The sequence below is a fragment of the Homo sapiens genome, chromosome 1 (genome assembly GCF_000001405.40).
Source record: "Homo sapiens chromosome 1, GRCh38.p14 Primary Assembly".
Lineage (NCBI taxonomy): Eukaryota > Metazoa > Chordata > Mammalia > Primates > Hominidae > Homo > Homo sapiens.
The window spans coordinates 24,376,570-24,404,133 of NC_000001.11; the positions used below are offsets into that span (position 1 = coordinate 24,376,570).

General features: G+C 41.6%; 1 protein-coding gene across 6 annotated transcripts in view, besides 3 other annotated features; it reads right to left on the reverse strand.

Annotated features, from left to right (window-relative positions):
• STPG1 (sperm tail PG-rich repeat containing 1) overlaps nt 1–27,564 on the reverse strand; it is a 58,046-nt gene that overhangs the window by 19,571 nt on the left and 10,911 nt on the right. For 3 of the 6 annotated variants that reach the window (XM_011542403.3, XM_047433681.1, NM_178122.5), the window contains 3 exons: nt 24,750–24,887; nt 7,333–7,434; nt 3,084–3,254 (listed from right to left, as the gene is read on the reverse strand). In XM_011542403.3, coding sequence (XP_011540705.2) covers nt 3,084–3,254; nt 7,333–7,434; nt 24,750–24,797 — 321 coding nt within the window. In that variant the 5' untranslated portion in view covers nt 24,798–24,887. Of the gene's footprint in view, nt 1–3,083; nt 3,255–7,332; nt 7,435–14,991; nt 15,111–15,354; nt 15,499–24,749; nt 24,888–27,564 lie in introns of all 6 variants that reach the window. The other 3 variants (NM_001199012.2, NM_001199013.2, NM_001199014.2) reach the window with 2 other exon arrangements.
• Nucleotides 7,951–8,000: an enhancer, noted in NCBI's record as "active region_398". NCBI's record gives its function as "activates an Ori minimal core promoter by ATAC-STARR-seq in GM12878 lymphoblastoid cells {active_cell/tissue: GM12878}" and the evidence as "EXISTENCE:reporter gene assay evidence [ECO:0000049][PMID:35858748]".
• Nucleotides 11,207–11,433: a silencer, noted in NCBI's record as "fragment chr1:24714266-24714492 (GRCh37/hg19 assembly coordinates)". NCBI's record gives its function as "represses an EF-1alpha promoter that drives an FKBP-Casp9 reporter gene in an ReSE screen in HepG2 liver carcinoma cells {active_cell/tissue: HepG2}" and the evidence as "EXISTENCE:reporter gene assay evidence [ECO:0000049][PMID:32094911]".
• Nucleotides 15,489–15,738: an enhancer, noted in NCBI's record as "active region_399". NCBI's record gives its function as "activates an Ori minimal core promoter by ATAC-STARR-seq in GM12878 lymphoblastoid cells {active_cell/tissue: GM12878}" and the evidence as "EXISTENCE:reporter gene assay evidence [ECO:0000049][PMID:35858748]".

Genomic DNA, 27,564 nt, shown 5'->3' on the forward strand with positions numbered 1-27,564 from the left:
TCCTTTGATGTCATAAACATTGATTGGATGCTTACTGCATCCCAGGACCTGTGCTGGGCATTGGAGACAGGAAGCCGGGTGAAGGAGTAGACAGTGATTCGGGGAGAATGGTGCATGAAACACTGACGGCAGCATCCTTCAGCTACAACCGGGAGGCTGCAGAGAGGGGCATCCGCACAGACAGTCGGTGCCTGTGTTTTTCTCCCAAGTAGCCTGGTTCCCACTTGGGACTGACAAAGGGGCAATGGCTAAGCCCCTTTCTGATCACTTTCTTGTATCACACCTTGCCATCTCTCCTGTTAGCATAATAATCTCCTCGCTGGTTTTCCAGAACCCACTCTCCAACCCACACTGCAGTCCATTCACCACACAGCAGCTGGAAGGAACTTTTTAAAAAATATGTCAGATTGGCTGGAAGCTGTGGCTCATGCCTGTAATCCCAGCACTTTGGGAGGCCGAGGTGGATGGATTACGAGGTCAGGAGTTTGAGACAAGCCTGGCCAACATGGTGAAACCCCATCTCTACTAAAAAAAAAAAAATACAAAAATTAGTTGGGCATGGTGGCATGTGCCTGTAATCCCAGCTGAGGCAGGAGAATTACTTGAATTGGGGAGGCGGAGGTTGCAGTGAGCCAAGATCGTGCCACTGCACTCCAGCCTGGGCGACAGAGCAAGACTCCATCTAAAAAAAAAGCATCAGATCACACCACCCCATACCTCCAGCCCCACTCATGGGCTTCCTAGGACCCAGAGAACAAAATGTGAACTTCCTCCTGGGATCTTCAGGGCCCTGTGTGAATTGGCCGGTGTCTGTCTGGTGCCCCCTTCTCCCTTCTCCTCTTGCTCATCCTACACTAGCCACTCAACCTTCCTGAAGGTCCTCGTGGGCTGGGCTCCTTGCTATACCAGGACCTTGGCACATGCTCTTTCTCCAACCCTGGCTCTTCCTCAATCCTTGGGTCTCAGTCTCGGAGCCTTCTCTGACCACCAAGTCAGAGAAGGCTGACTTGGTACTGCCAACCTCCATATCTCCCACATATTCTCCCTCAAGCTCCAGCTGTCCCTCAAAGTTGACCACAGTTTGTAATTATTTTGTTTGTTTACCTGTTCTTTTCTGAATTCCCCACTGGAATCTAAGCTGTATCACCAGCCTGGCACAGAGGAGCAACAGGATCCACAGAGGGAAGCCTGTCAGGGCTGGAATGAGGTGACTTTGATCATTCCCCAGCTTTCCACCCCAGCCATCCACTGGTGCCCACTGAAGTGCAAATGATGCCTTCAAGCTGGGTAACTGTGCAAGTCCCTTCACCTCTCTGAGCCTTAGCTTTCTCTTCTTTATACTGGGAACAAGATAATCCACTTTATGGATTCACTTGTGAGTATTAAATATGATTAATACATAACTCTTAGACCAGCACTTAGTACATGAGAAGTGCTTCATCCTCCTCCTCCTCCTCCTCATCATTTTCAGGCTCTGATTATGCCGAGGGAAGACTGCCTGGAGTTGGACTGCCCAGTATAGTAGCCACAGGTTGCATGTGGCTATTGGCCCTGGAAACGTGGCTGGCCCAAATTAAAATGTGCTGGAAGAATAAAACACATACTGGATTTTAAAGACTCACTACAAGGAAAATAGTCTTCCTCAAATATAAAATTCATAACTTTTATATTGATTAGTGTTGAAATGATAATATTTTGGATCTGTTGGGTAAACTATATTACTCAAATTAACTTCATCTGTCCCTTTTTCTTTTTAGATGTGGCTACTAGAAAATCTTAAATGAGGCCGGGCACGGTGGCTCCCGCCTGTAATCCCAGCACTTTGGGAGGCCGAGGCAGGTGGATCACGAGATCAGGAGATTGAGACCATCCTGGCTAACCCAGTGAAACCCCATCTCTACTAAAAATACAAAAAATTAGCCGGGTGTGGTGGCGGGTGCCTGTAGTCCCAGCAACTTGGGAGGCTGAGGCAGGAGAATGGTGTGAACCCAGGAGGTGGAGCCTGCAGATTGCACCACTGCTCTCCAGCCTGGGCAACAGAGCAAGACTCCGTCTCAAAAAAAAGCTTGAATCCATCATAGAAGGTGGGCAGGATTTTTGTAGTCAGAAAAATAATTATTAATTATCAATATTATGAAGGAAAAAAGGAAATGGTATAATAAATGTATAAAACCAAAATAGTTTGGAAAATGGCATAACATTAATGTCTTAAGTACAATTCATATCTTGCGCACTTCAGAGTGCTTTCACGTTCGTTGCCTTATGGTAACCCTGTAGGGCAAGTAGAATTGATTCCATTGTACAGTGGGGGCTGTGACTTACTTACTTGCTTGTATTTAAGGGTAAGTAAATACCCTTCATGTACTAACAAAGACAGCCCTACCAATCTCCATGTATTGTGTGGTCCTTGTGTGACTGGTGCTGTCCTGGGCATGAAGCATACATTATCTCATTTAATATTTGCATTAACACGATGAGGTGAACATACATCACCATTTTACAGATCAGTAAACTAAGCCCTGGAAAGGTTAAGGGACTTGCCGAAGGCCGCACAGTTAGAAAGTGGCAACAGATGAGAGCTAAACCAAACCTTCCTGAGTCCATCTCTTAACCATCCATGCCATTCTGCGTCAGTGAATACAAAGCGATCATAATTGGCACAGCAGGGCACGACTGTTAAAACACCTATTTTCTGATATGAAAGTTTATTTTCCCTAGAAGAACCTAAAAAGTAAATCATTAGTGGCTGCAGACAAAGTGGTAAATAATACACCCATTGTTACAGATGAGAAAACTACGTCCCAGAAAGGTTACAGGACAAGAGTAATTAGAATATGTGTTTCTCAGGGCAGTGGCCTCCCCACAGCTTGATACTGGCCTCCATGTTGCCCATCCTGATCTCTGGGGTCTGCAAATTCCCTGTAAGAGTCTTGTACAGCCTTAGGCACCCATTGGGTAGTCAACAAATGCTAACTGGCTTGACAACTGCATTAAAATACGATGTCCCCAAGATCCCCTCTTCCTTTTATTTTAGTAAACCATTAATTCGATCTGTATTTAGCAAGCATAGGCAGAGTTCTTACATTGTAATAGTTTGGTGCAGGAGTTTCAAACTTGAGAGCTTTCATAAAGCTTGGCAACTGGAACATGCTGGAACACGAATTACTAAAGTCTCTCTTGGAAATAAAATCCGATGGGATAGTGTATGCATTCGCTGCAGGGTATTTAGAAATGATGGTGTCCAATCGGGCGCACTGTAAGGAGACAACCAAAGGAATCAGCATTGTCACATAATATTGTGGATCTGAAGGACAGATGTCAAAAAGATGGTGACCAGCACAAGGTCTAAATGCATTTTATAAAAGGCGAAACTCTGGCAGTAACAATGATAAACTGACCTCAGGCTTTGAGGATCTTCCCTTGGAAAACGCAAGTTCAGACCTGTACTCGCTTCTGTAAACTAACTCAAATTATTCATCTTCTGTTTGGGACTTGGCAAAAATGATTTTGCCATAAATGCATTTCCACCCAATCCTGTTCCAGGCCACTTACCCTTGACTCATCAGCTGTTGGGTAATTTATGTGATAGGAAGCTTTAGATGCTCTTCTCAGCCTAGGCTTTTCTTCTGAGTAAAATCTCACATCTTGTTTCTAAGGTTAAATGATCTGAACTGCCTAAGCAACGAGTTTGCTTCAAACAAAGCTCCAGGGGGCTTGTTGTCCATCTGTGCCTCCTACCCTCCACCAAATTACTGTTTTCATCAAATCCTACAGTATTTTCACGGTTTAACAGAACCAATCCCACCCTTTCAGGAAGCCACGATAAATTATCTTCAGTTAAAAAACAAACAGAATCAATGTTTGTCAAAAGAACAGGGACAAAAGTCACAGAAACTCAGTGATAACATCACTTTCCCCTAAGATAGCATGGCAAGTATTGGAGTCTGATAAAACAAAAAATTTCCCACTATTTAATGGTCAAAAGCTTGAGAACATTGCCCTGGATTTTCTCACTTGATAGGAATCAATAACTACACAAACACAGAAAGTGGGTGAGCCAAAAGGAAGGCATTAGGGCCCCCCTACTTCACTCTGTGCTTGGTGGTGACGGTCCTCAGCGTCTGGTTTATGGACCCCCACTAGCATTTGGGGGGGTGTAGCACCAGAAGCGGGAGTGTTCTTGTCCAGAGCCTAAGTTGTTCAGAGCCTAACCTGGGTTCAAGCCCCAGCTCAACCCCAGCCTCTTCAGTAATGGGAAGTTAACTCCAACGCTGATCTGTTCCTTGAGTATCCAACTCTGCCAAACTCGAATTCTAATAAGAAGTGGCTACATGCAGTGTGTAAGGATTTGCTGATGCTCCTAGAAGTAAGGTCACCCCAGCTTTGAACGTGCTTCATCTTTTTCATTCTGGCCAAGAGTTAACCAATACCTTTGGTGGGTTTTTGTGTTGAATCCTCAGGACAACCCTGAGCAGTGGATCTTATGATTATCTCTACTTTACAGATGAGGAAGCTGAACTTCCCCAGCTAATTCAGGCGGAGGACCAGCATTCCTACCCAAGCAGTCAGCCTCCACTACATGACATGGATCAGAGAGCCCATTCTAAAGGGGAAAGGGTTGAGCGACATGGCTCTGGGATAACAGCAAGCCCATTCAATCATAGACTCTTTTTTGGTTTAGAACACCTACAACTTACATTTTGAAAATGAAAAAACTTCTTCCCAAAAAAGTCCCAGTAGAGGCAATGTTTTATAAAGTATCGTAATAGAATTAGTCTCAGAATGTGGCTACAGTAACACTCACTCACCAACACTACACACCCCTTGGTTTACTTGCCAGGCCTGTGGCCTCCAATCTGGCCAAATGCCGGCATTTATGAACTTCTCTCCAGCACCTACTAACTTTTCTAGAGCCACTCCTGCCAGCATGCAAATACAGAGAGGCCATCAAACTCTCCACCCACCTGCCTCATACACTTCTCCTAGTCAGTCCTGTGGAAGATTCTGGAGCAAAGATTTGGAATATACTAATAAAGCTCTTTATATCATTCAGACTTAGAGAGATGACAGGTCTCTCAAAAGGTTGGGTGTAGTTGTTTCAACAGTCATGAGGAAGTTTCTAAAATTTATAGACCCACAGAGTTTTTTGGTCAGCCTCACCCATAATCACATTCCTACTGGTCATTCTGATCTTTCTCTGATGAGAGCTACTTTTAATTCCCTCTAAGTCTTGGGATGCAGAAGCGGAGGAGGTGCTAAAGGTGAAAGTTACTGAAAGAGGCGGTGGGGTGGGGGATATGAAATTCTCATCCAGTTCACACGGGAATGAGGTAAAACGCAGAGATCTCCTAATAGATCGCCATCGACCACTTCAGGCACCCATCCCCAGGTACAGGACCTTAAGTGCTTATACCTGAGTGTAACATAACTATAAATACAAATTCCCATATTTGTGAAAGGGAGGAGAGGGGGAAGCCTGAGCAGCTCAAAGTCTGCCTTCTTTAGGGTTTGGTTCTGAATTTTTTAAAGGCCTGAAAGGCGTGGCTAGGTTCTGTAACACTCAGCTCTTGCCTTGGGCCCCTTCTCCTCCAGATAGTCAGGCTTTTCATTTGGAAAGTTACCGCACGCAAAGCCTTGTAGACAACCAATCGTGTCCTCTGATTCAGTCTCTTTGTTGGCACCAAGAAGGAATGGGCAGTGCCATTATTTAGCAAAGAAGTTCTCGGAGAGAAAACCTAGGTGTTGCAGGAAGTATTGTTTGTGACTCAGGTGGTAACAATCATAATATTTAGCATGTTTATAATGCTTTGCTGTTTCAAAGAGCATTTCACTCATTGCAACGTTAATTTGCCCAGTGCCTCCAGGGAGTCTCCACTTTCATGAGGCAACTGGGACACAGAAGGGTGACGTGCTTGAGGTCACGTCAAGAATCCACAGCTGAGGCAGGATCAGGTCTGAAGTCTTGTCTTCTACACCAGGACTTCATGAGACGGCACTTCTTTTGAGCTTCTTTCCTAGCAGAGCTGGTGGCAGAAAAATAGGTAGAGGCATGGCTGTTCTGTGGACCTACTGAGGCCATGTACAAACTCAGCTTCTTCGGTAATGGGGAGTTAACTCCAAAGCTGGTCTGTTCCTTGAGTATCCGATTCTGCCAAATTCGAATTCCAATAAGATGTAGCTACATTTAGTGTGTCTTAAATGGTCCCTTTGTGTGGTTAAAAAAAAAAATCAATTCCAATGTCAGGCATCATAATACATCTGTGCAAGAAATTATTATAACTTTTAAAGGGACAAGATGGCATATGTTTGTTAATTTAATGTTAGAGTCTGGGCTTGCTTTCTTTTCACTTTTTTTTTTTTTGGACAGAGTCTGCCTCTGTCACCCAGGCTGGAGTGTGATGGTGAAATCATAGTTCACTGCAGCCTCAACCTCCTGGGCTCAAGTGATCCTCCCACCTCAGCCTCCCGAGTAGCTGGGACTATCGACACACATCACCACTCCTGGCTAATTTTTAAATTATTTTGTAGAGATGGGGTCTCACTATGTTGCCCGAGCTGGTCTTGAACTCCTGGGCTTAAGTGATCTTCCCGCATTGGCCTTCCGAAATGCTGGCATTATAGGCATGAGCCACCGTGCCTGTCCACTTTTCACTTTTCTTCCTCAGGTAGCCTTACCCTAGTTTGTATCTTTCCCCTTGCTGTATCTGTTTTTCTTGACCATTTATCTATTTTGCTGTATCTATTTTTCTTGACAATGTATAAACATTTTTAAGAAGCCTATCTTTGCCCAACTCTGGTCAGGGTCATTGGCAATTCATATAGCTACTTGATTGTTACAGCCCTCAACAAAAATTAAGTCCCATATCTTACGAAGAGAAGGAAAGGGGTGGGGCCAGTACTTTTCAGGCCCACTGCCGGCTTTCTTTTTAGTCCTATCAGATTTCTCAATAGTTTGACAACCAATTAGATTAAGCATTGTAAAAATCATATTACACCAAGATGTGTAAGAGTAACTATTTCCTGGCATGCCTAAACATCTCAGGAAAATACTTGCTTAGTGCACTCAGTGATAACAAAATTGGTTTGGAAGGATCAAGTTCTCAAGATTCCTCTGGCTTCTCTTCCCACCCTGGCAGTGGGTAGAGATGGGAAAAAGTTACTTAGAGACACAGGGTCCAATTTACTTGCATGAAATTTGAGGAGGCAGTTACTCTCCTAATTAGAACCATAGGCCTTTGGAGAGAAAGGACCAGATGTCCAATATATAATTATGCAATGAATGAAGGAAATTACTGACCAGTTAATGCTTTACTCAAGAGAAGTGGTTCTCACCATTGAGGGAAACATGCAAGTTCCTTTCTTGGACAATGAGACACTGTTGGACACCGGTGACTGGTGAATAACATTGTAGAACCCAGGTCCTGGGATATCATTCTGAAAGGGAAGAGAAGGTGGTGTCATCGAGATACTTCAATTCCATTGTGCTTTTCCACAGGCTTTACATCCATTAACACTAAGCCTTACTGTAATCCCACAGCACAGGCGCTACCACCACTTGGTGGGTGACAGCCTAGCTCCACCATTTCCTGACTTGCCCGATCTTCGTCTCAGTTACCAAGTGGTGGGGCTGGAATTCCAAGCCAGGCTAGACTCCCAAAGCCCTTGCTCTTTCCACTATGCCCTGCCGCATTCCAAAAGAACACAGTTGTTTTTTCAAGTCATTAGAGAAATGGGCCTAAAGTGGGACACTGAATGCGGCTGATGTGCAAGTCAGTGTGCAGTGATTGGGTAAGCCAGACCCACGGCAAGGGAAGGGTGAGCGATTTCATGTTCACCCCACCCCACCTGACTCAGCTTCCTCCTCAGCCTTTCAGAAGAGAAACCAGGGAGTGTTTCTGTTTATAAAGCAAAATGAAACAAAAACAACCTTCAACCCAAACCAGGCCATTTCTAACTCTCAGACAAAAAGAGGCAAGCTCTTGAGGCTCAAGTGCTGAATGATGCAGGCATGTGAGAGAGGAATAAGTGAGAGGTCACTTCCAAGTTCATTTCTGCTGCGGGAGCTCATCGGGCTTTCATTGCATTTCCCATGCTAGTTACCAGGGGGAAGTAAATGTTGACAGAAGTTGGCTGAGTGGTGTGAAATGCTAAGGATGCTCCACTGTGGCAAGAGGTTCCTGGGTACCTGCTTGGTGTCAGAAGCTTTTCAAAGTTGGTCTCATTTTCACCATCAGCCAGTGATGAAGGGATTACTGTCCCCCGTTGATAAATGGAGACACTAAGGCACGTGGAGATGAATTTGCCCAAGGTCCCGCTGCTGTAAGTGGCAGTACCTGACTTCAGTGCCAAGCGCACGGTGTGTGCTGTCTTGTTTACTCCTCACAACAAGCCTTTTACAGTGAGGTATGATCAGGGCTACTTTAAGGAAAGTGAGGCCCAGAGACACAGCTAGTAAGTGGCAAACCCCAGAGCTGAACCGAGACAGCCCGACTCCAGAGCTTGCTGTCTCCAATCTCTGCCACTCAGGCCTGTCCTGTCTCCACCATCCCTACTGCCTTCCTTAGGGTAGAAAGCCCAAGGTACCATCAGTGCCTTCCAGGACTTTCCAGTCTGGCTGGGCAGTGTGTAATTATGGTTTCATATAAGGGATAGGGTCAAAGTGCTGTTAACGGGTTCTTCTGTGCTGACTTTTAAATGCAGTGAGTCCTTTCACCCTTGCCCCATGGGAGGTGACGACAGGGGTGCTGATTCCTGCTTTAGGTGAGAATGATCCCCGGTGGACGGAAGAGGAACTGACTGCCATGGAGAGTGAGGCAGGCAGCAGGAGGCACTGTGGAGCCAGGTACTCCAGCACCCCAGGCCGAGAGCCCAGGAGAACCCTCGTGTTGTGGATGCAGATGCGAAGGGCTATGGGGAGACAAGGAAGAGATTTTTCTAGGCAACTGTTTTCAGGGCAAGCATCAATTTCTCGAGTGCTCATTTTGTGCCATGCACTGTTCTGAGGACTTTACATGTACTATTAGCTCACTTAATCTCCATTTTAAAGAAGTTGGGGCCAAAAGAGATAAGGCCCACATAACTAGTAAATGTCAGAGCCAGAACCGAGGCATTCTGACCACAGAGTCTGCTCTTAACCACGAAACCAAACTAATTCTCAAATGAGATTACATAGGATTAAAAAAATCCCCACCGGGTTATGAATCAGAAATTGTAGTCTCAGTGCTGCCACACGCTAAGTGATCTTGAGCAAGTCACCTCTCTGGGCTTCCTTATTTGTAAGTCCAAGGTGTTGGGCCTTGGGTGCTTTTGAGCTTCCAGAGTCCCTGAATCTAGGAAAGCTGACACAGGAAGTGTCACTGTGACTCTTCTAGGTTTAAATAGTAGATAGTGAAGACACACACCTCTAGCTCCCGGTTATCACCACACTCTGAACCTGACCATCAGTTTGCAAGAATTTTCTGAGCACTCATATGTGTCTGAGGAGCTAGGGGTTCCAGACAAAATGCAAGACCTAAATGCCGGCTCCATCCTACCTGCCCAGTTAAATTAGAATTTCAGATAAACTGCAGATGATGATTTTAGTATATCCCATGCAATATTTGGGACATACTTGTACTAACAGAGTTGCCATTTATCTGAAATTCTAATTTAACTGGACATCTCGTGTTTTCATTTGCTGAAGCTCACAACTTTCCTGGGCTTTAACACACTTTAATTCTGCCACTTTGCATACTGGCTTGAGTCCAAGGCAAATGGCAAGAAGGCTGTTACCACTTAGCCTGGAGGAATGGAGTGCTGCCTGTTTGTTCTTAGTGAGCAAAAAGAGAGTCCTCCAGGCAGCGGCAGCTGGAGCTGGCCAGCGGCAGCTTGTGAGGACAACTGTTAAAAATTCCAAAATGTTGCTGCTGGTGGCTTGAAGTTGGCCACGGTGGCAGTATTTATGTCACAAAAACGGGCAGATGCTACATCTCAGCACTTTTCTTCGAGGAGGGTAAATGGTGGTTGACCAGCACACCACCGCCTTCGTGCAACGCCCAAGTAGGTCTCTGGGAGGGAAATGTCAAGCGTTCTCCTGTGACTTCTAGAGGTGGGCGGATGCCACCCTCAGAGAGGCCTTTCGCCTGTGCAAAAACAGTTCCTGCGACTGACATTCTGTGACTTGGATGAATTTAGCCTCTCAGAGCAAATCCCAGAGAACGAGAATCCAAGTTGTGACTGGTGTGAACTTAGCCACTCCTTGGTTTCTTGGCAAAAACCAAATAAACAAACAAAACAAAAACATGTATGGGGAGGGAGAAGGGAAGAGAACTCGCATTTACTAGTGCTCTAGGGAAGCCCTACCCACTGTCTCCTTTGCTGCCTCTAAGTGTGAGGATTGAAGGGGTCAATACACATAAAGTGGGTGGAACAGCGCCGATGCGGCCCGCCATCATCATCATCACCATCACCATCACCACGCACGATGTTGCCTGCTACTGCCTCCATGGAGCCAGGACCCTCCCTTGGGAGTCACAAACCTTCAGAGTGGGACTGAGCAGCTTATTAGCAGCCTGTTGAAGTGCCCTGCGTGGGATGGGGGCAAAAATGCAATTTAGCGGACACTGATTGAAACCTACTGTGCATCAGGACCTGTGCCAAGGATGGAAGATACAGGCGCAACCTGTTAGCAGCTCACAGGGTTTAGGAATGGGAGGAAGGAGATGTATCACAACAGTGCTCATGGATGGATGTGTGGTCGTGACTCCATGGGAAATGCGCAGATTTGAGTTGGGGGCATTTGATCCATTTTTGAGGGGTTTGTGGGGTCTGGAAAGGACAGCAATGACCACTGCCCAAGGAGCTCCTAGGCAGGTGGTGGAGGTAAGACAGCACACACATTAACCTTGTGTCAAGGGCATAAGACGAGCTGTGGGAGGTGCCTCCACCTCGGGAAGATGCTGGGGAAACAGGGTCTGAGGACCAGGAGCTGCTACCTGGGTTCATCCTCACTCTGCCCAGCCTCCACTGCACCAGCTACTTCACCCTCTTTTCATCTCAGGATCATTATCTGAAAAGTATGGATAATGATGGGATTTAGCTCATGGGGTTATTATGGGGATTAAATGAGGTAATAAATGCAAAGGTCTTTGAGGGGTACCTGGCATGTCATGAGTGCCAGCCCAGTGTTTGCAGACCCCTTAGGAAGGGGTACTGGTGACTGATACAGAGAAGTCAGGCTTCACAGAGCAGGGAGGCAGGACAGACCCTACTGTGGGTCAGATATGCAGCTGAGGGCACACTTGGGGCAGCTGTCCCCTTGAACATGGTGACTTCTGCAAACTGAACCTCTTTCATTTAAACATCCCTGGTCTAGTGTCATATCAAGTTAATAAGTGAACAATATTAACTTTGTACGATTTCATCACAAATTAACCACTGGCTGGCTTCCCATTTGGGAGGGTAGATTTACTATGTAATGGTATTAACATATATTTTTAAATTGTGCCCATCTAGAGCACATGGTACCTATGTCCTACCTGTATTTATTTATTCAAGCCTGGAAGGGATGAGGTGTAGAACCATGAAATACTCATTCCTGGCAAGGGCTTACCTACCTATTACAACATCTTTATTTTTAGGATGAGGAAACAGAGAAGCAAAGACATTAAGTGGTGTCCTTAGGGGTACACAGTTTGGGAAACAGTGACCACAATCCAGGGTGAAGTGGAGACAGAAACAGGGAGGCGGGGGTAGAAAATGGCCGGCAGGCTGCTGGGCCATGCTCTGCCACATAGATCAGGCATGTCTCTTCACCTACGCAAAGTTACCAGCACATCTGTAAATAACTCGAAAATGTTCAGGAAAACAGACTTCATTTCTAGCAGCCAAAATTGCCAGTCCCGACACTGAGCTCTGTGAAGGATTCACTGTACTCTGCAGTAAGATTCTCATGGGGAATGTGAGCTGGGCAAGGAGACCTTGATGGTTCACTGCAAAGTTAGCCTCACAAGGTAAGTGCACATTTCAAAGGGCACTGATTCTCTGTGTCAAAGATGTGCTAAGGTGGGCCACAGGACTACTGCGAGGAGGCAGCCATGTTCGATCTGGAGCAACGGTGTGGGTGACTAATGCTTTAAGAAGGGTGGTGAAGCCCTGGAGTTTTCAAATCTGTCTTTAATTTGTATTGCCTCACTAAATTATCAGGTGATGTTAAACAAGATCTTTAACTTCTCAATGGCCATTTCCCTCGGGAAAAATGAGAACGAACATAGAATAGGAATTTGTTTTTCTGTTTTTATAACTTGAGGAGACCACAAAAATTATATAATACAAATTTTATGTTTCAGTTGAGGAAACTGAAGCCCAGAAAAGTCAAGTGACTGGTTTAAAGGCACACAGCCAGTGACAGAGTAGGACACGGAAAGCCTGATTGATGGATCCCCTGCCCTTTCCATAAAATTCCATCCTTATTTCTAAAATGCTTACAAATGCTGAGATGAAAGTTTTCATGTTGTCAAGTAACACGACCACATTTAAAAAGTTGGAACCCAATCTCTGAGCAATTCCCATCTCTATTCGATGCTGCCTGTAGGTTTGGCTACCTGCCTCCTTGGTTCCTTTAGTCAAAAACGTTCTGAGAAGCAATCATCTTTTAAAACACTAACTTGACAAGTGAGCCGGCTTGCTTTCTGAATTTGAGTGTTCAGAACTAGATCACGGGGAATGGGGCCCATCCACGGTAGCTGACATCCTCCCCTGTCTTCAGCTTGGTCTGTGTTGCTAAGGCCTTTTCAGAAACTTGCTGACTTTCACAGGCCAAATTTACAGCTTTGCGGGCCACAAAGGCAGGTGTGGTGCAGTGTGTGGAAAGAGCAAGAGGCTTTGGAGTGAACTAGACCTGGGTTGAGGTCTAATTCTTTCAACATTGATTCAGCAAACATTTACTTTGAGCCTCTTAAGTGCCAAACCCTGCATTGTGTGACCTTGGGTGGGTCATTGAACTTCCCTAAGCCTCGGTTTCCTCTTCTGTTAAATTAAAATAATAAACCCTTCCTTTCAGCATTGTTCTGAGGATTAGAGATAAAAGGCAGTCTAAAAGTACACATAGTAAGGATAAGTAAATGGTGGCTGCTATTGTTTTTATCGGAGGCTGGGCTGCAAATATCCTGGAGAGGGACAATATATTATCATTAAATTGACAAATGGGAAACCAGACAGAAAATGGGAAAGAGCCAAACAGTTAAAACAGAGAAACTAGGGAGAGAAGAAAACTCCTGAGCAAATATGTATTATCTTTGGAGAAAACCTACAAGTGATTTAAAACTGTGTGTGTGTGTTTGTGTGCGTACACTCTATTCTTTATTATTTGCTTTCTTAGAATCCTAAAATATCAGAAGTGGAAGAAACTTGAAACATTCTCTAGTTCAGCGTTCTCATCTACCAAGGAGGAATCAGGCTGAGGGCACCAGGGCTGGCCAAGGCCCCTCACTCCATGCCTTGGCTCCGTTCAGAACCTAGATCTCCTCATTCCCTCTCTGCCATCTGGGCAAGGTAATAAGATGAAAACCATTTTTAGAGTGCAGCAAAAGATATGTGAAATGAGGACTCCTCCAAAAGAACAGTATTCTAAAGGTCTTGCTTAAATGAATGAAGGAATGAAAAACTTTTTAGACTCTAAGGACGCCTGTGAGTTGCTTCTGTCCCCTGCTGGTGAGAGAGGAGAAAGTCAGGTCCCAGAAATCCCAAAGATTAAATAAGGACCGGTCAGGAACCACGCAGAACTTTCCAGGTTAGAGAGGAAAAGAGATGCGGCAAGATTTAGGGAAGGGGGGGTGGTGGGTGACACAGGAATATGATAACACATTGTTGTTGTGGTGGTGGTGATTTTGAGATGGAGTCTCATTCTGTCGCCCAGGCTGAAGTCCAGTAGTGCGATCTCGGCTCACTACAATCTCTGCCTCCTAGGTTCATGTGATTCTCCTGCCTCAGGAGAGGCAGTAGTTGGGTCTACAGGTGTGCGCCACCACTCCCAGCTAATTTTTGTATTTTTAGTAGAGATGGGGTTTCACCATGTTGGCCAGGCTGGTCTCGAACTTGTGACCTCAGGTGATCTGTCTACCTTGGCCTCCCAAACTGCTGGGATTACAGGTGTGAGCCACTGCACCCGGCTAATAACACATTGTTTAAGGAAGTTTTTTTTGTTTTTTGTTTTTTTGTTTTTAAAGTAGGGCAGGGCTCATTACAAAGGTAATTTTTTTTTTTTTAATTTCAGACAGGGTCTAGCTCTGTCACCCAGGCTAGGGTACAGTTGCGCTATCTTGGTTCAATGCAGCCTCGACCTCCTCGGTTCAGGTGATCCTCCTTCCTCAGCCTCTTGAGTAGCTGGGTCTACAGGCACACACCACTATGCCAAGCTAATTTTTGTACTTTTTTCTTTTCTTTTCTTTTCTTGTAGAGATTGGGTTTTGCTATGTTGCCTGGGCTGATCTGAAACTCCTGGCTCAAGCAATTAATTCTCCCACCTCAGCTTCCCAAAGTGCTGGGATTACAGGCATAAGCCACCGTGCCCGGCCCTCCAAAGGTAATTCTAGATGTATTCGACTCTTCTTTTCCTCTTGTGTTATTTGAAGTCATGTGATTTCCTCTCACAAGGATGGGGAAGATTTTTTTTTAATCTTTTACTTAATTGATAACACTTGGGAATTTTTGCAATTTTTTAGCTTTATGATGATTTTTAAAATATATTGTTTTCTTAAAATAGTTTTGGTCCAGTTCAATATTTTTGGCGCCATAAATCCAGACACAGTTGTTTTTCCCTGGATGTCCCATTTTTCAGGCTCGTTCTTACAGTTAGTCCAGTCGGTGCCCCTCAGTGGAGCTGGTGCCGCGGCTCCTGGGAGCACACTGCCCTCCACTGTCCACAGAAAGACACAGCAGCCAGACAGAACGTGCCTGTCCCGCAAGGCTAAAATCCAGACTAAAACGAAAGAACCCCTGAGACAACGTCATTACCTTCTTATGAGGAAATCTCTTGGCTTGACTATTGAATCCTTTTTTTTCTGATTCTGGGATTACTGAAGCTTGAGATTTAAAAGGAATGGAGGATTGTGTTGGATATGCAGCAGTAAAACCTAAACAACAAAAATGGAGTAAAATCAAAATGAATACAAAACAATGATTGACAAATGTGGAAAACACAAAGGTGTATATTAAAGTTTTATTTTAAATGGTAGAGAAGAGAAACTTGCCTTTTGACAGGAAACAGACACGAAACCGGATTAAAAAAAAAATTCCCCACTTTCTTTCCCTCTCGGCAATTTATCGGACTTCCCCCCTCCAGCTCTTAAATTAGTGAGATGTGGTCACATAAAGTACCTTAAACAGGCTGTCCCGGAGAAAAGGAAGGAGATGATAGTAAAGACATTCTTGCCAGGCAGGAAGGAGACAGCAAAACTATTCTGGGAGCAGCCTGGACGAGGCGCGGTCAGGACAGAGGAAGCGTCCTCACTGCTCCTTGGCCTAGATTCAGACACCAGCATTAGGCCGTTAAAATCCAAAGAGGTTAGGGAAATCCCAGCCTGGGGCTGGCTCTCACTTTTCAGGGCACTGTGCAAGACAGGTGTAAGTTTTCGTTTCTGTTTTGAGCAGACATGGGGTTAAAAAGCAGAAAGGGATCATCTATAGAAACTGAAGTTAAAAGTTCCTTTGTCTAGGCTGCGATGTATACATGCATGTCTGATGTATAAACTCCCCTCCTGCTGAGACTTCCACAACTGCTAGAACTTGGCAGCATCTGTCTGCATAGCAGGTTGATTATAGACTCTAACCTGTAAGTGTAATGGACTCTGACTCCAGTTTTTTGATGTTTGATGGCTGATAGCTCTTCAGCTTCACCACTCCCTCATTCCCTTCTGCCCTACCACTGGGCAAGCGGATGAGAAAGCCCAGAGCTCCCTCCTGTGGCACCAGCTGGAAGTTCAAACCACGCAGACCCCTGCCCTCAGTCCAGCCTCGCTTTCCAACCATAAGAAAACCCCCAAGCCAGGCTCCTTTCCCTGCTCTCTCAAGCCATTATTGGATCAGGTTAGGAAGGCTGTGCTGCTGTCCTCAGAAGGCCTCACTATGTGGGTGATAAGCCTTTTCCTACACTCTTCATGAGCGTGTGTGTGGCACCGTAAGTCTTGACATCCAAACCAAATTTTGGGTGGGGGGGTGCATCCTGACTCTGTAGGCTGTTCACAACAGTAAGCCAAATTATTTTAACATCAGAATCCTAACCTTCAGAGAGGAAATACGCGCAGAAATGGGGGAAAAAAAACAGTCAAGAGAAGGAAAGAAGAAAGTATGTGTTAGCCATGACAGAGGGTGGTTTGTATGGAAACTATCAGTAAGGCTCATTTCTTCATCTCTGAATTTTTTTAAAAAACAATACTCCTTTTCAGAGCAGGAAGCCTGAAGACAACAGGGACCCCTCAAGGGGTACAATCATGAACCAGCTTCACAGTTGAGGAAACTGAGGCTTAGAGGGATTAAGTTACTCATCCGAATCACCCAGCACTTAAGCGGAACAGGTAGGGTGTGAACATGATTTGCCTAATGAGTCCAGGCTCTTGAGCTCTGAGCTGTGCTTCCTCTTCCTGAGCTGGCCTCTAGTAAGTGCTCAATAAACACGATGGGGAGAGGGACACTGAAGCCTAATCTGCCTGGGTGGAGGATGAAGCAAGTAAAAGGAGCTGAATACGTGTTTAAGTAGAAAATATTTGGGGATACCAATATACAGTAAATGTATTCTTCTCCTCCCCTCCCCATTTAAGTAGATGAATGGCTATGTTTTTGGTTTGTTTGCTTTAAGAGAGCTATACAGCAAATCAAAAGGCAGAAGCAGCTGCAAGACTTCCTGGCTTTTGTTTCTAAAAGCCTAAGCCTATAGAACAGCTAAGAGAGTGTGCAGAGGAGGCAGTAAAAAGAGAGTTATTTAAAAAAGGTTAAAGGAAGGACATTCTCCTGGGGAAAGGAGAGGTTTCTGCCTGACTGGAAAGGAGATCCAAGGCTTCTGGCTATAACAGAAATGCATGTGTCAGAGCAGCCCTCTTGATGAAACAATTTAAAAAGTAGAATTTTTGAAAAACACTCTGGATGACTGAACTCCTATTTCTTACCAAAACAGGACTAGATTTGCCCTCCCAGCTGGAAAAAAAAAGTTAAAAATGGGCAAGATATATAAAGCAATCAAGATACTGGACATCAGGCAACAAAGGACAGGGATCCCTGAGAGAAGCAAAGTAAATGAGGTTGGCAATAAGATGGTCCCCAGCTTTCTGCCAGGAGAAAATCTCAAGACCACAGCACAGGAAGAAGGGATCCAGATGGAGCCCCGTGGTCTTCCTGAGTTGAGGAAATAGATCTGGGAGTCCAGAAAGACCAAGACAGCTAAGTTCACAGAGCAGAGTACCAGAGAAGAGAGAGCTACCCAGATGGAGAGCTATGGAGCTCTGCAACGGGGTCCCCTGAGTAAGTTCCTGGGTATTGACCAACACATGGCATGAGAAAACTACCCAGGGCTGGAGAAGGAACCGCCTGGCAGAATTCAAGTGAGCAATCCCTGAGGCTTCCACAGGGCCGGGAATAGCTCCTGTTTTCATGAGTCACAGCGGGAAAACCTCATAATTCATGGAACATAGAGTATGCAGGAGGGTTTCGCCTCAGAAATGGGGCAAAATTACCCCTAGACTAAATACTGCTCTGGTTCCAGCTAACAAAGCTTTAAAGCAGGACCTGAAAAGATCAAACTGTCTCCAAATAATTTAACTGCATCTCAGAACAAAGCACAAGAATATTTATGGGACTACAAAAATAGCACCTAAGAGGTAAAATTCAAAATACCTGGCATTGATAAAAAATTAATAGGAGGAAGAAGGAAAAATATACTTCAAAGTGGGGAGAAAATAAATGATCAAAACCAACTCAGAAATGATACAGATGATAGAATTAGTGGAGAAGAACATTATAACTGCTGCACTAACTGTATTTCATATGTTCAAGAAGCCAGAGAAAAGACTGAACATATTAAGTAGATATGGAAGATATAATGACAAGATCCAAATCGAACTACCAGATGTGAAAACTAAATGTCTGAGATTAAAAATACACTAGATGAGATGAATAGCAAATTAGACATTAGAGGAAAAAAAGATTAGTAAACTTGAAGACCTAGAAATAAAACTATACAAAATAAAACAGAAAAAGGACAAGAAAAAGGATTAGTGAGCTGTGTGGAAACTTTGAGGAGCCTAATATATATGTAATCAGGCTCTCAAAAAAAGAAATATGAGGAGAGAAGAAATAGAAAAAAATAGTTCAAGAAAAAATGGTTGAAATTTTTCCAAATTTGATTAAAAAAACTATTGACTCACAGATTCAAGAAAGTCACTTAACATCAAATACAAGAAACATGAAGAAAATGACACCGTAGGCCAACCATAATCAAATTGCTTAAAAAGTGATAAGAAGAAAATGTTAAAATTGGGCAGAGAAAAAAGACATGTCACATATGAAGAAACAAATACGAGAATGACAGCAGATTGATACTGAAAACAACACCTTTAAGGCAATAAAAGGAAAAAAAAAACCTGTCACCCTAGAATCCTGTACTCAGTAAAAATATCTTCAAAAGCAAAAGCAGAATAAAAACTTTTAAAACTATATAAATATTGAAAGAATCATCAGCAAATGGGAGCTACAAGAAATGTTAAGGGAAGCCCTTCAGGCCAAAGAAAATGATACCAGTAGGAAATCTGAATCACATAAAGGAATGAAGCTCTGGAAATAGTAAATATGTGGGTAAATAGAAAATATAAAATTATGAGTATAAATTGAACAATTTTTTTTTTTTTTTTTTTTTTTAGACGGAGTCTCGTTCTTGCGCCCAGGCTGGAGTGCAATGGCGCTATCTCGGCTCACTGCAAGCTCTGCCTCCCGGGTTCACGCCATTCTCCTGCCTCAGCCTCCCGAGTAGCTGGGACTACAGGCGCCCGCCACCGCGCCCGGCTAATTTTTTGTATTTTTAGTAGAGACGGGGTTTCACCGTGTTAGCCAGGATGGTCTCGATCTCCTGACCTCATGATCTGCCCGCCCCGGCTTCTCAAAGTGCTGGGATTACAGGCATGAGCCACCAAACCCAGCCTTGAATAATTTAAATATAACATTTTAAACATTTAAAAAGTAATGATTACTGGCCGGGTGTGGTAGCCTGTAATCCAGCACTTTGGGAGGCCTCCTCACCAAATTAGCCAGGCATGGTGGCAGGTGCCTGTAATCCCAGCTATTCAGGAGGCTGAATCAGGAGAATTGCTTGAACCCAGGAGGTGTAGGTTACAGTGAGCCAAGACTGCGCCACTGCACCCCAGCCTGAGCGACACAGCAAGGCTCCATCTCAAAAAAAAAAAAATTTATGTAAAGCAAAAATAACAACTGTTTTGTAGGGTTTATACCATATGTACAAGTAAAATGTTTAACAACAATAACATAAAGGCCAGGAAGGGAAAAATAAAAATATACTGTTTTAAGGTTCTTCTACTATATGTGAAGTGTTATAATATCACTTGATGGTAGACCATGATAAGTTAAAGATATATACTATAAACTCTAAAGTATGTAGGGATCAACGAACTTTTTCTAAGGGCCAGATAGTACATATCTGTCTATCTATCTATCCATCTATAGCTATCTATCTATCTATCTATCTATCTATCATCTATCTATCTTATTGATCTATATTTTGAGACAGGGTCTTGCTCTGTTGCCCAGGTTGGAGTGCAGTGGTGCAGTCATAGTTCATTGCAGCCTTGACCTCCTGGGCTTAAGCAATCCTCCTGCCTCAGCCTCCCAAAGTTCTGGGATTGCAAGTGTGAGCCACCATGCCTGGCTAGATAGTAAATATTTTAGTCTTTGCAGTCTATTTATTCTCTGTGGCAACTATTCAGTGCTGCCATTATGGAGTAAAAGCAGCCACAGACAATACATAAACAAACTGGGGTGGCCGTGTTCCAATAAAACTTTATTAATAGAAATAGGCAGTGGGTCAGATTTGGTCCAAGGAGCAAAGTTTGCCAACTGTTGCTTTAAGGTAACCACTAGGAAAATACTACAAGGAGTTATTCCTAATAGGCTAACAAAGGAGATAAAATTGAAGCATTAAAAATAATACAAGAGACAGAGAAAAGGTAAATAAAGAACAGATGGGACGAATAGAAAGCAAGTCACAAGATGATAGACTTAAACTTATACACCAATAATCACATTAAATGTAAATAATCTAAATATCCCAATTAAAAAACAGAGATTCTCAGATTGGATAAGAAAGAAAGACCCAACTATATGTTACCTTGGAGAAACATACTTGAAATATAAACTCAGAAATAAGTTAAAAGTAAAATAATGGAAAAAGATTTACTATGCTAACACTAATCAAAAGATAGTTAGATATTATCAGATAAAGTAGATTTCAGAGCAAAAAATATTACCTGCAATAAAGAGGGTCATTTCATAATGGGGTCATTATGAGCAGTCAGCTCCTCAAGAGAACATAACAGTCCTAAATGCTGATGTACCCAATAAAAAGAGATTGAAAATATAAGAAGCAGAAACTGATAAAACTGCGAGAAAAAATAGAAAATTTCACAATTATAGTCAGAGATCTCAAAACATCTCCCTCGATAATTTAAACAAGTAGATAGATCAGTAAAGATATATGAAACCTGAACAAAACTATTACCTAACCTGACCTAATTGGCATTTATAGAACACTCCACCTATCAATTCCATACAAGCTGTCCCAGAAAACTGAAGAGGAAAAGACATTTCCAAACTCATTCAATGAGGCAACCACTACCTGATACCAAAACTATATGGCATCATTACAAGAGGGAAAAAGATCACTAGAGGTCAGCAGCCCTCATAAACATAAATACATAAATCCTTAGAAAAATTTTAGCGAATCAAACCAGACAATATATAAAAAGATAATACATCGTGACCAACCCCAGTAATGCAAAAATAGTTTAATATTTAAAAATCAATATAATTCATCATATTAACGGACTAAAAAAGAAAAACCATACGAGTATCTCAACAGATTAAAAAAATCATATACCTGTAACATGTACTCTTTTTGTCTGGCTTCTTTCACTCAGCATAATTACTATGAGATTCATCTCTGTTGCTGATATATCAATACTCCATTGCTTTTTATTGTTGAGTAATATTCCATTGTATAAAAACATGATGTTTATTCACTGGTGATGTAAATTTGAGTTGTCGCCAGTTTGGGGGCATTACAAATAAAACTGCTATGAGCATTTTATCTACAAGTCTTTAAATGGACATAAGCTTTCATTTTGCGGGGTAAATGCCTAGGAGTGGAATGACTAGATCATATGTTTAACTTTTTAAAAAACTGTCAAACTATTTTTCATAGTCGTTGTACTTTTGCACATCCCCACTATTAGCGTATGAAAATTTCTATGACTTCACATTCTTATCAGCAATGGGAAGTCTTTTTAATCTCAGGCATCCCATTAGGTATGTAATGGTATCTCATTATGGTTTTAATTTGCATTTCCCTAATGACTAATGATGCTAAGCAGTCCTTCATATGCTATTTTCCCTCTGTATATCTTTTTTTTGGTGAAGTAACTGTTTAGTAGATACAGAAAAAGCTTTTCATAAGATCTAATATCCTTTGATGATTAAAAGAAAAACTCTAGCAAACTAGGAATAGGAGCAAACTTTGTTAATCTGATAAAAGGTGTCTATAACAAAAGCCTATAGCAAACAGGATACCAAATTGTGAAATATTAAAGGCTTTCCCTTGAGACAGGGAGTGAAACTAGTACAACTGCTATTATCCTTCTATTCAACGTTGTACTGAAGGTCTCTAGCCAATACAAACGCCTACATAAAATATATTAAAAATACATAAAATATATGGATGAGAAAGGAAGAAATAAAGTTGTCATTTTCACAGATTACAAGATTGTGTATGGGGAAATTGCAAAATAATCTGTGGACACCCTATAAGAGGTAATAGTTGGATTTAGTGAGGTCACCAGAATCAAGGTCAATATACAAAAATCAATTAATTTTTTTGTACAGCAGCAACAAACAATTTAAAATAAAATTTAAAATTACCATTTATAACAGCATAAAAATCAAATGCCTACAATAGATATAATGAAGATATGCAAGACTTCTACATAGAAAACTCCAAAACATTGAGAACAATTTAAGGTAACTTAAATAAAAGGATCTATACATGGATTAGAGAAGTTAATATTTATTGTAAAGATGTAAATTATCCTTAAATTGATTTCTAGAATCAATGCAATCCAAATTAAAATGAGAGTAGAGTTTTTTTAAGACATTAATAAGCTGATTGTAAAATTTGTATAGCTACCCAGATTTGATCATCGCACATTATATTCTTGTATCAAAATATCATGTGTGCACCATAAATATGTACAACTATTATGTATCCATAAAAATTAAAAATAAAAAAGTAAAATAAATTTATATGGAAATGCACTGGGGTCAAGAATAGCCAGCATAAACAAAGAAGTACAAAGTTGAAGGGCTTATGCTACTAAAGAGTTATTATAAAGTTACAGTAATTAGGACAGTATGATATTTGAACAGAATAAATAATCAAGAAGCAGAGCTGCATATGCCTGGACACTTGATTTATGACAAAGGTAGCAACAGCAATACAGAGTAGTAGAGAATGAGCAGCCTTTCAATAAATGGTGCTGGGTCAACATGGAAAACAACAGACTCGGGCATCTTCCTCAATCAAAAACAATTTCAAGTGAATTGTAGATCTAGATGTAAAAGGTAAAATAATAGAGTTTCTAGAAGAAACTATCTTGGGATGGGCAAAGATTTCTTAAGTATTAATAAAATAGACATGTACACTAAACATAAAGAGACTGATAAATTGGGCTATATTAAAATCAAGAGTTTCTGTGTCTTAGCACATTGTTAAGAGAGTGAAAAGGAAAGTCCCAGGATAAGGGATGACATTTACCTACAGCTAACAAATGACTTGTTTCTAGAATAAAGAATCCCTATAAATAAGAAAAGGACAGAATGGTTTAAAGAACTCCTATAAATAAAAAAAAGAAAAGACAAGACAAGACCCAGCAGAAGAAAATGGGCAAAAAAGTTGAACAGTCACTTCTCCAAAGAGAATATCCAAAAGGCCAGTCAACATGAAAAAGTGCTCAATCTCATTGATCTCAGGCAATGCAAATTAAAACTATTATGAGCTTAAAATGTTGGTGAGGATTTGGAGCAGCTGGAATTCACATACATTGCTTGTAAGGAGGTAAAATTGGCACAGCTACTTTGGAAAACTGTTTGGCAATATCAACTAAGCTTACCCTAAACATACCCTATGACCCAGCAGTTCCACTCCTCAGGTATAGACCCATGAAATACATAAATATGTGTCCCACAAGACAAGTACAAGAATAGTTACAGAAGTTTTTATTCATAATAGCCCCAAACTGGAAACAACCTAAATGTCCTTCAGTAGTAGAATAGATAAATAAATTGTGGTGTATTCAAACAAGAGTAATAAAATGAACAAATTACTCATAGATAAGACAAACCAACATGAAGTTAAATCTCTGAAACATAAGCCTGAGAGAAAAGAGCTCATATTGTATGATTCACATTTACATAACATTCAAAAACAAACTAAAGTTATTAATGATATGAGAAGTCAGGATAACCGTAGTGTTTACTTTTGCAGGGAAGGGAGATAATATCTGAGAAGGGACAAGGGCTTTTGAGATGCTGCTGACATTCTGTCTTGGTCTGAGAAGTTATTCCATAGGTGGTGTTTTCTTTGTGAATATTCATTAAGCTATACAATTAGGATTTGTGCACTTTTTCTGAATATATATTTATGCTTCAATTTAAAGAAATGTTAAAGAAAAAGAGAGTGCAAAATCAGAGGATAGGAGGAAGAAAGAGAGATCTCTCTGGATTTGAGAGCAGCAGCGACTCTGGAAGCCCACCAGGGAGGTGGTAACAGCCTCGAAAGAAAAAGCGCTGGAGCCTAGGGGGATCTCAAAATGAGGTTTCCTGTCTCAGCAATAATTCCTAAGCCACACTAACGAACCAGAACACTAGTTGGCGAACACTAGCAAAACCAAAGGGAGCACATGAGCTGGGACACTGGGGATCTCACCAATGTGGATGGTTGACCAATGACCTGAGTATTCCTCCCCACCCCAACCCAGCCTCCTGGGATCACACTAACTATTGGGAAAGTTCTGAACTTGAAACAATCACGAGGGAGATAGGATTTATGCTGATAATGGCTGGAGTTATCCTTTCCAACAACCCAGCAGAATGGGGACTTGCAGTCATAACTCAAGTTGAGTTCTAGGAAATAAAAAAAGATCTCTTACATATCTAAATTTGAGGATAGAGATTCTTACCAGATACATGGAACTAACAAGTCTGGGTTTTGTTTATTAGTTTTTTATTTTTTAACAGACTTCCTCCTTCTTCTCTCATCCTTTCTTCTCAGTTTCTTCCCAATCGTCACACTTGAAACAGTAGGGCCTAAAGCCACCTATTTGGTATGCCTGTAAGGATGGCCCTGTGGATATAACCCAGGACTTACTATTCCCCCCAAATTTGCTCTTATGTACTAAAATAAGCATATGTCAGGAGCTATCTCCTCCCTGCAAAGACACATGTACCTTTCTGTACTTCACTGGCACGTCTGGGATGTTTGCCAGTGCGTTCATTTTTCTGTGCAGAGTTGTCCATGTTAGCAAAATTCTGTGACGTGTTCCATTTGTTTGATGAAAAGTTCTACTGCATGTTCTCCTAAGCACCTGAAACAGCAAAACACAGCATTTGTAGAGATCATTTCACATTGGTTAATTATTGCAAATGGGTTCTGTTCTATCTACAGGGTAAACTGAGAAATGGTGTGGGTGCCGGCTGAGATCTACCAAGTGCAGTGACCCAAAGTCCCAAGCACATTGTGCTGGTGCTGCCTGCAGTAGGAACTGCGTAAGAAGTCACTGTTGATGTTGCTTACAGAACTACTGAAGGCTTGGATTTTATTTTTATTTTTTATTTTTTGATACGGAGTTTTGCTCTTGTCACCCAGGCCGGAGTGTAATGGTGTGATCTTGGCTCACTGCAACCGCTGCCCCTGCCTGGGTTCAAGTGATTCTCCTGCCTTAGCCTCCTCAGTAGCTGGGATTACAGGCGCCCACCATCTGTAATTTGTATTTTTAGCAGAGATGGGGTTTCACTATGTTGGCCAGGCTGGTCTCGAACTCCTGACCTCAGGTAATCTGCCTGCCTCTGCCATCCAAAGTGCTAGGATTACAGGTGTGAGCCACCATGCCTGGCCTATTTTTATTTAAATTTAGCTTTACTGAGACATAATGTATACACAAATAAAATTCATCAGTGTTAGTTGTACAATTCCAAGTTTTGGCAAATGTTTACAGCCAAGTTAAATACCACCACAATTAAGATATTAATTTATCTATGATGCTGAGAAGCTCCCTGTGTCCCTTTGCAGTCAGCACCCTCCCAACCACTGCTCTGCTGTCACAATTGTTGCCTTTCTAGAATGTCACAGAAATGCAATCATAGACACTCTTTTTTCACTTAGTGTAATGCTTTTGAAATTCTTCCATATTGTTGCATAGATCAGTACTTTGTTCCAGTTGTTCTACATCCTCACCAACATGTGTTTGCTCAATCTTGTTAATTTTAGGCATTCTAGTGATTTTATAGTGGTATCTCATTGTCATTTTAATTTGGATATTTTCATGTGCTTATTTATCTTCTTTAGTGAAGTGTGTTCAAATCTTCTACCTTTAAAACAAAAAAATTGGGGACAGCCATTGTGGCTCACACCTATAATCCCAACACCTTGGGAGGCTGAAGCGGGAGGATTGCTTGAAGCGAGGAGTTTGAGACTAGCCTAAGCAACATAGTGAGACCCCATCTCTACGAAAAATAAAAAATTAGCCAGCCTGTAGTCCCAGCTACTCTGGAGGCTGAGGTGGGAGAACTGCTTAAGCCCAGGAGATCAAGGCTGCACTGAGCCATGACAGCACCACTGCACTCCAGAATGGACAACAGAGCAACAGCCTATCTCAAAAAAAAAAAACAAAAAAAAACAAAAAAACAAAAAACCACAAAACCCAAAAACAATTGGATTTAATTGGGTTATTTATTGAGTTGTACAAGTTAATACATCTGGATACAAGCCTTTTATCATATATGTTTTGAAAATATTTGCTCCCCGGCTGAGGTTTGCCTTTTTATTTTCTTAACACTATCTTATGAATGCAAATTTTTAAATTTTGATCAAATTTGTCAAAATTTTCTTTTAAGGTTTTAAGATTTCTTTTGTCAGATCTAAGCAATTTTTGCCTAACTCAAGGTCACAAATATTTTCTCCTACATTTTCTTTTAGAAGTTTTATAGTTTTAGCTCTTACATTTAGGCCTAGGATCCATTTTGAATTAAACTGTGTATACAGTATTAAGGTAAGGGTCAGGTTCATTTTATTTTCATTTTATTGCATTTGGAGATTCAATTAATCCAGCACCATCTGCTAAAAAGAATACCCTTTTTTCACTGAATTATCTTGGCACACTCATCAAAAATCTACTGTGTGTATGTGTTTATTTAGATATACATAGTGCTATTTCTAGATTCTCTATTCTGTTCTTTTGAACTCTGTGTATATCCTTATACCAACAGCTCACTATCTTGCTTTAGAGTAAGTTTTAAAATCAGGTAGTTCCAACTTTGTCTTATTTTTCAAAATTATTTCGACTATATTAGCTCTTGTACTAGCCCTTTTGAATATAACTTACAGGTCAATTTCTACTAAAAGAAAAAACCTCCCTGGATTTTGATTGAGATTGCATTGAATCTATAGAACAATTTAGGGAGAATTTACATCTTAACTTTGTTGAGTATTATGTTCCATTAATATGGTATACTCTCCATTTATTTTGATATTATTTAATTTCTCAGCAATATTTTACAGTTATCAGTGTACAAATATTGCATATATTTTCTTAAACTGATTCCTAAGTATTTCATATTTTATGTCAAAAAAATGGTCTTAAAATTTTTTAAATTTCTCATTGTTTATTGCTGGTATAGAGAAATATAAGTAATTTATATATATTAATGCTGTATCCTGCAACTTTGCTAAACTTTTTTTTTCAGTTCTAGTAGCTTTTTTGTCGATTAGGAATTTCTACATATATAATCATGTTGTATGTGAATAAAACATTTTATTTCTTCTTTTCCAATTTGTATGCCTGTTATTTCTTTTTATTGTAATACTGCAATGACTAGGGCATCCAGTACAATACTGAACAGAAGTGACAATAATGGACATCTTTGTCTTGTTACTGGCTCGAGTGGGAAAGTATTCAGTCTTTTGGCATTAAGTACAATGTTAGTTGTAGGTTTTTTTAAAATAAAAGCTCGTTATCACTTCTAATCTGTTTCCTAAGAGTTTTT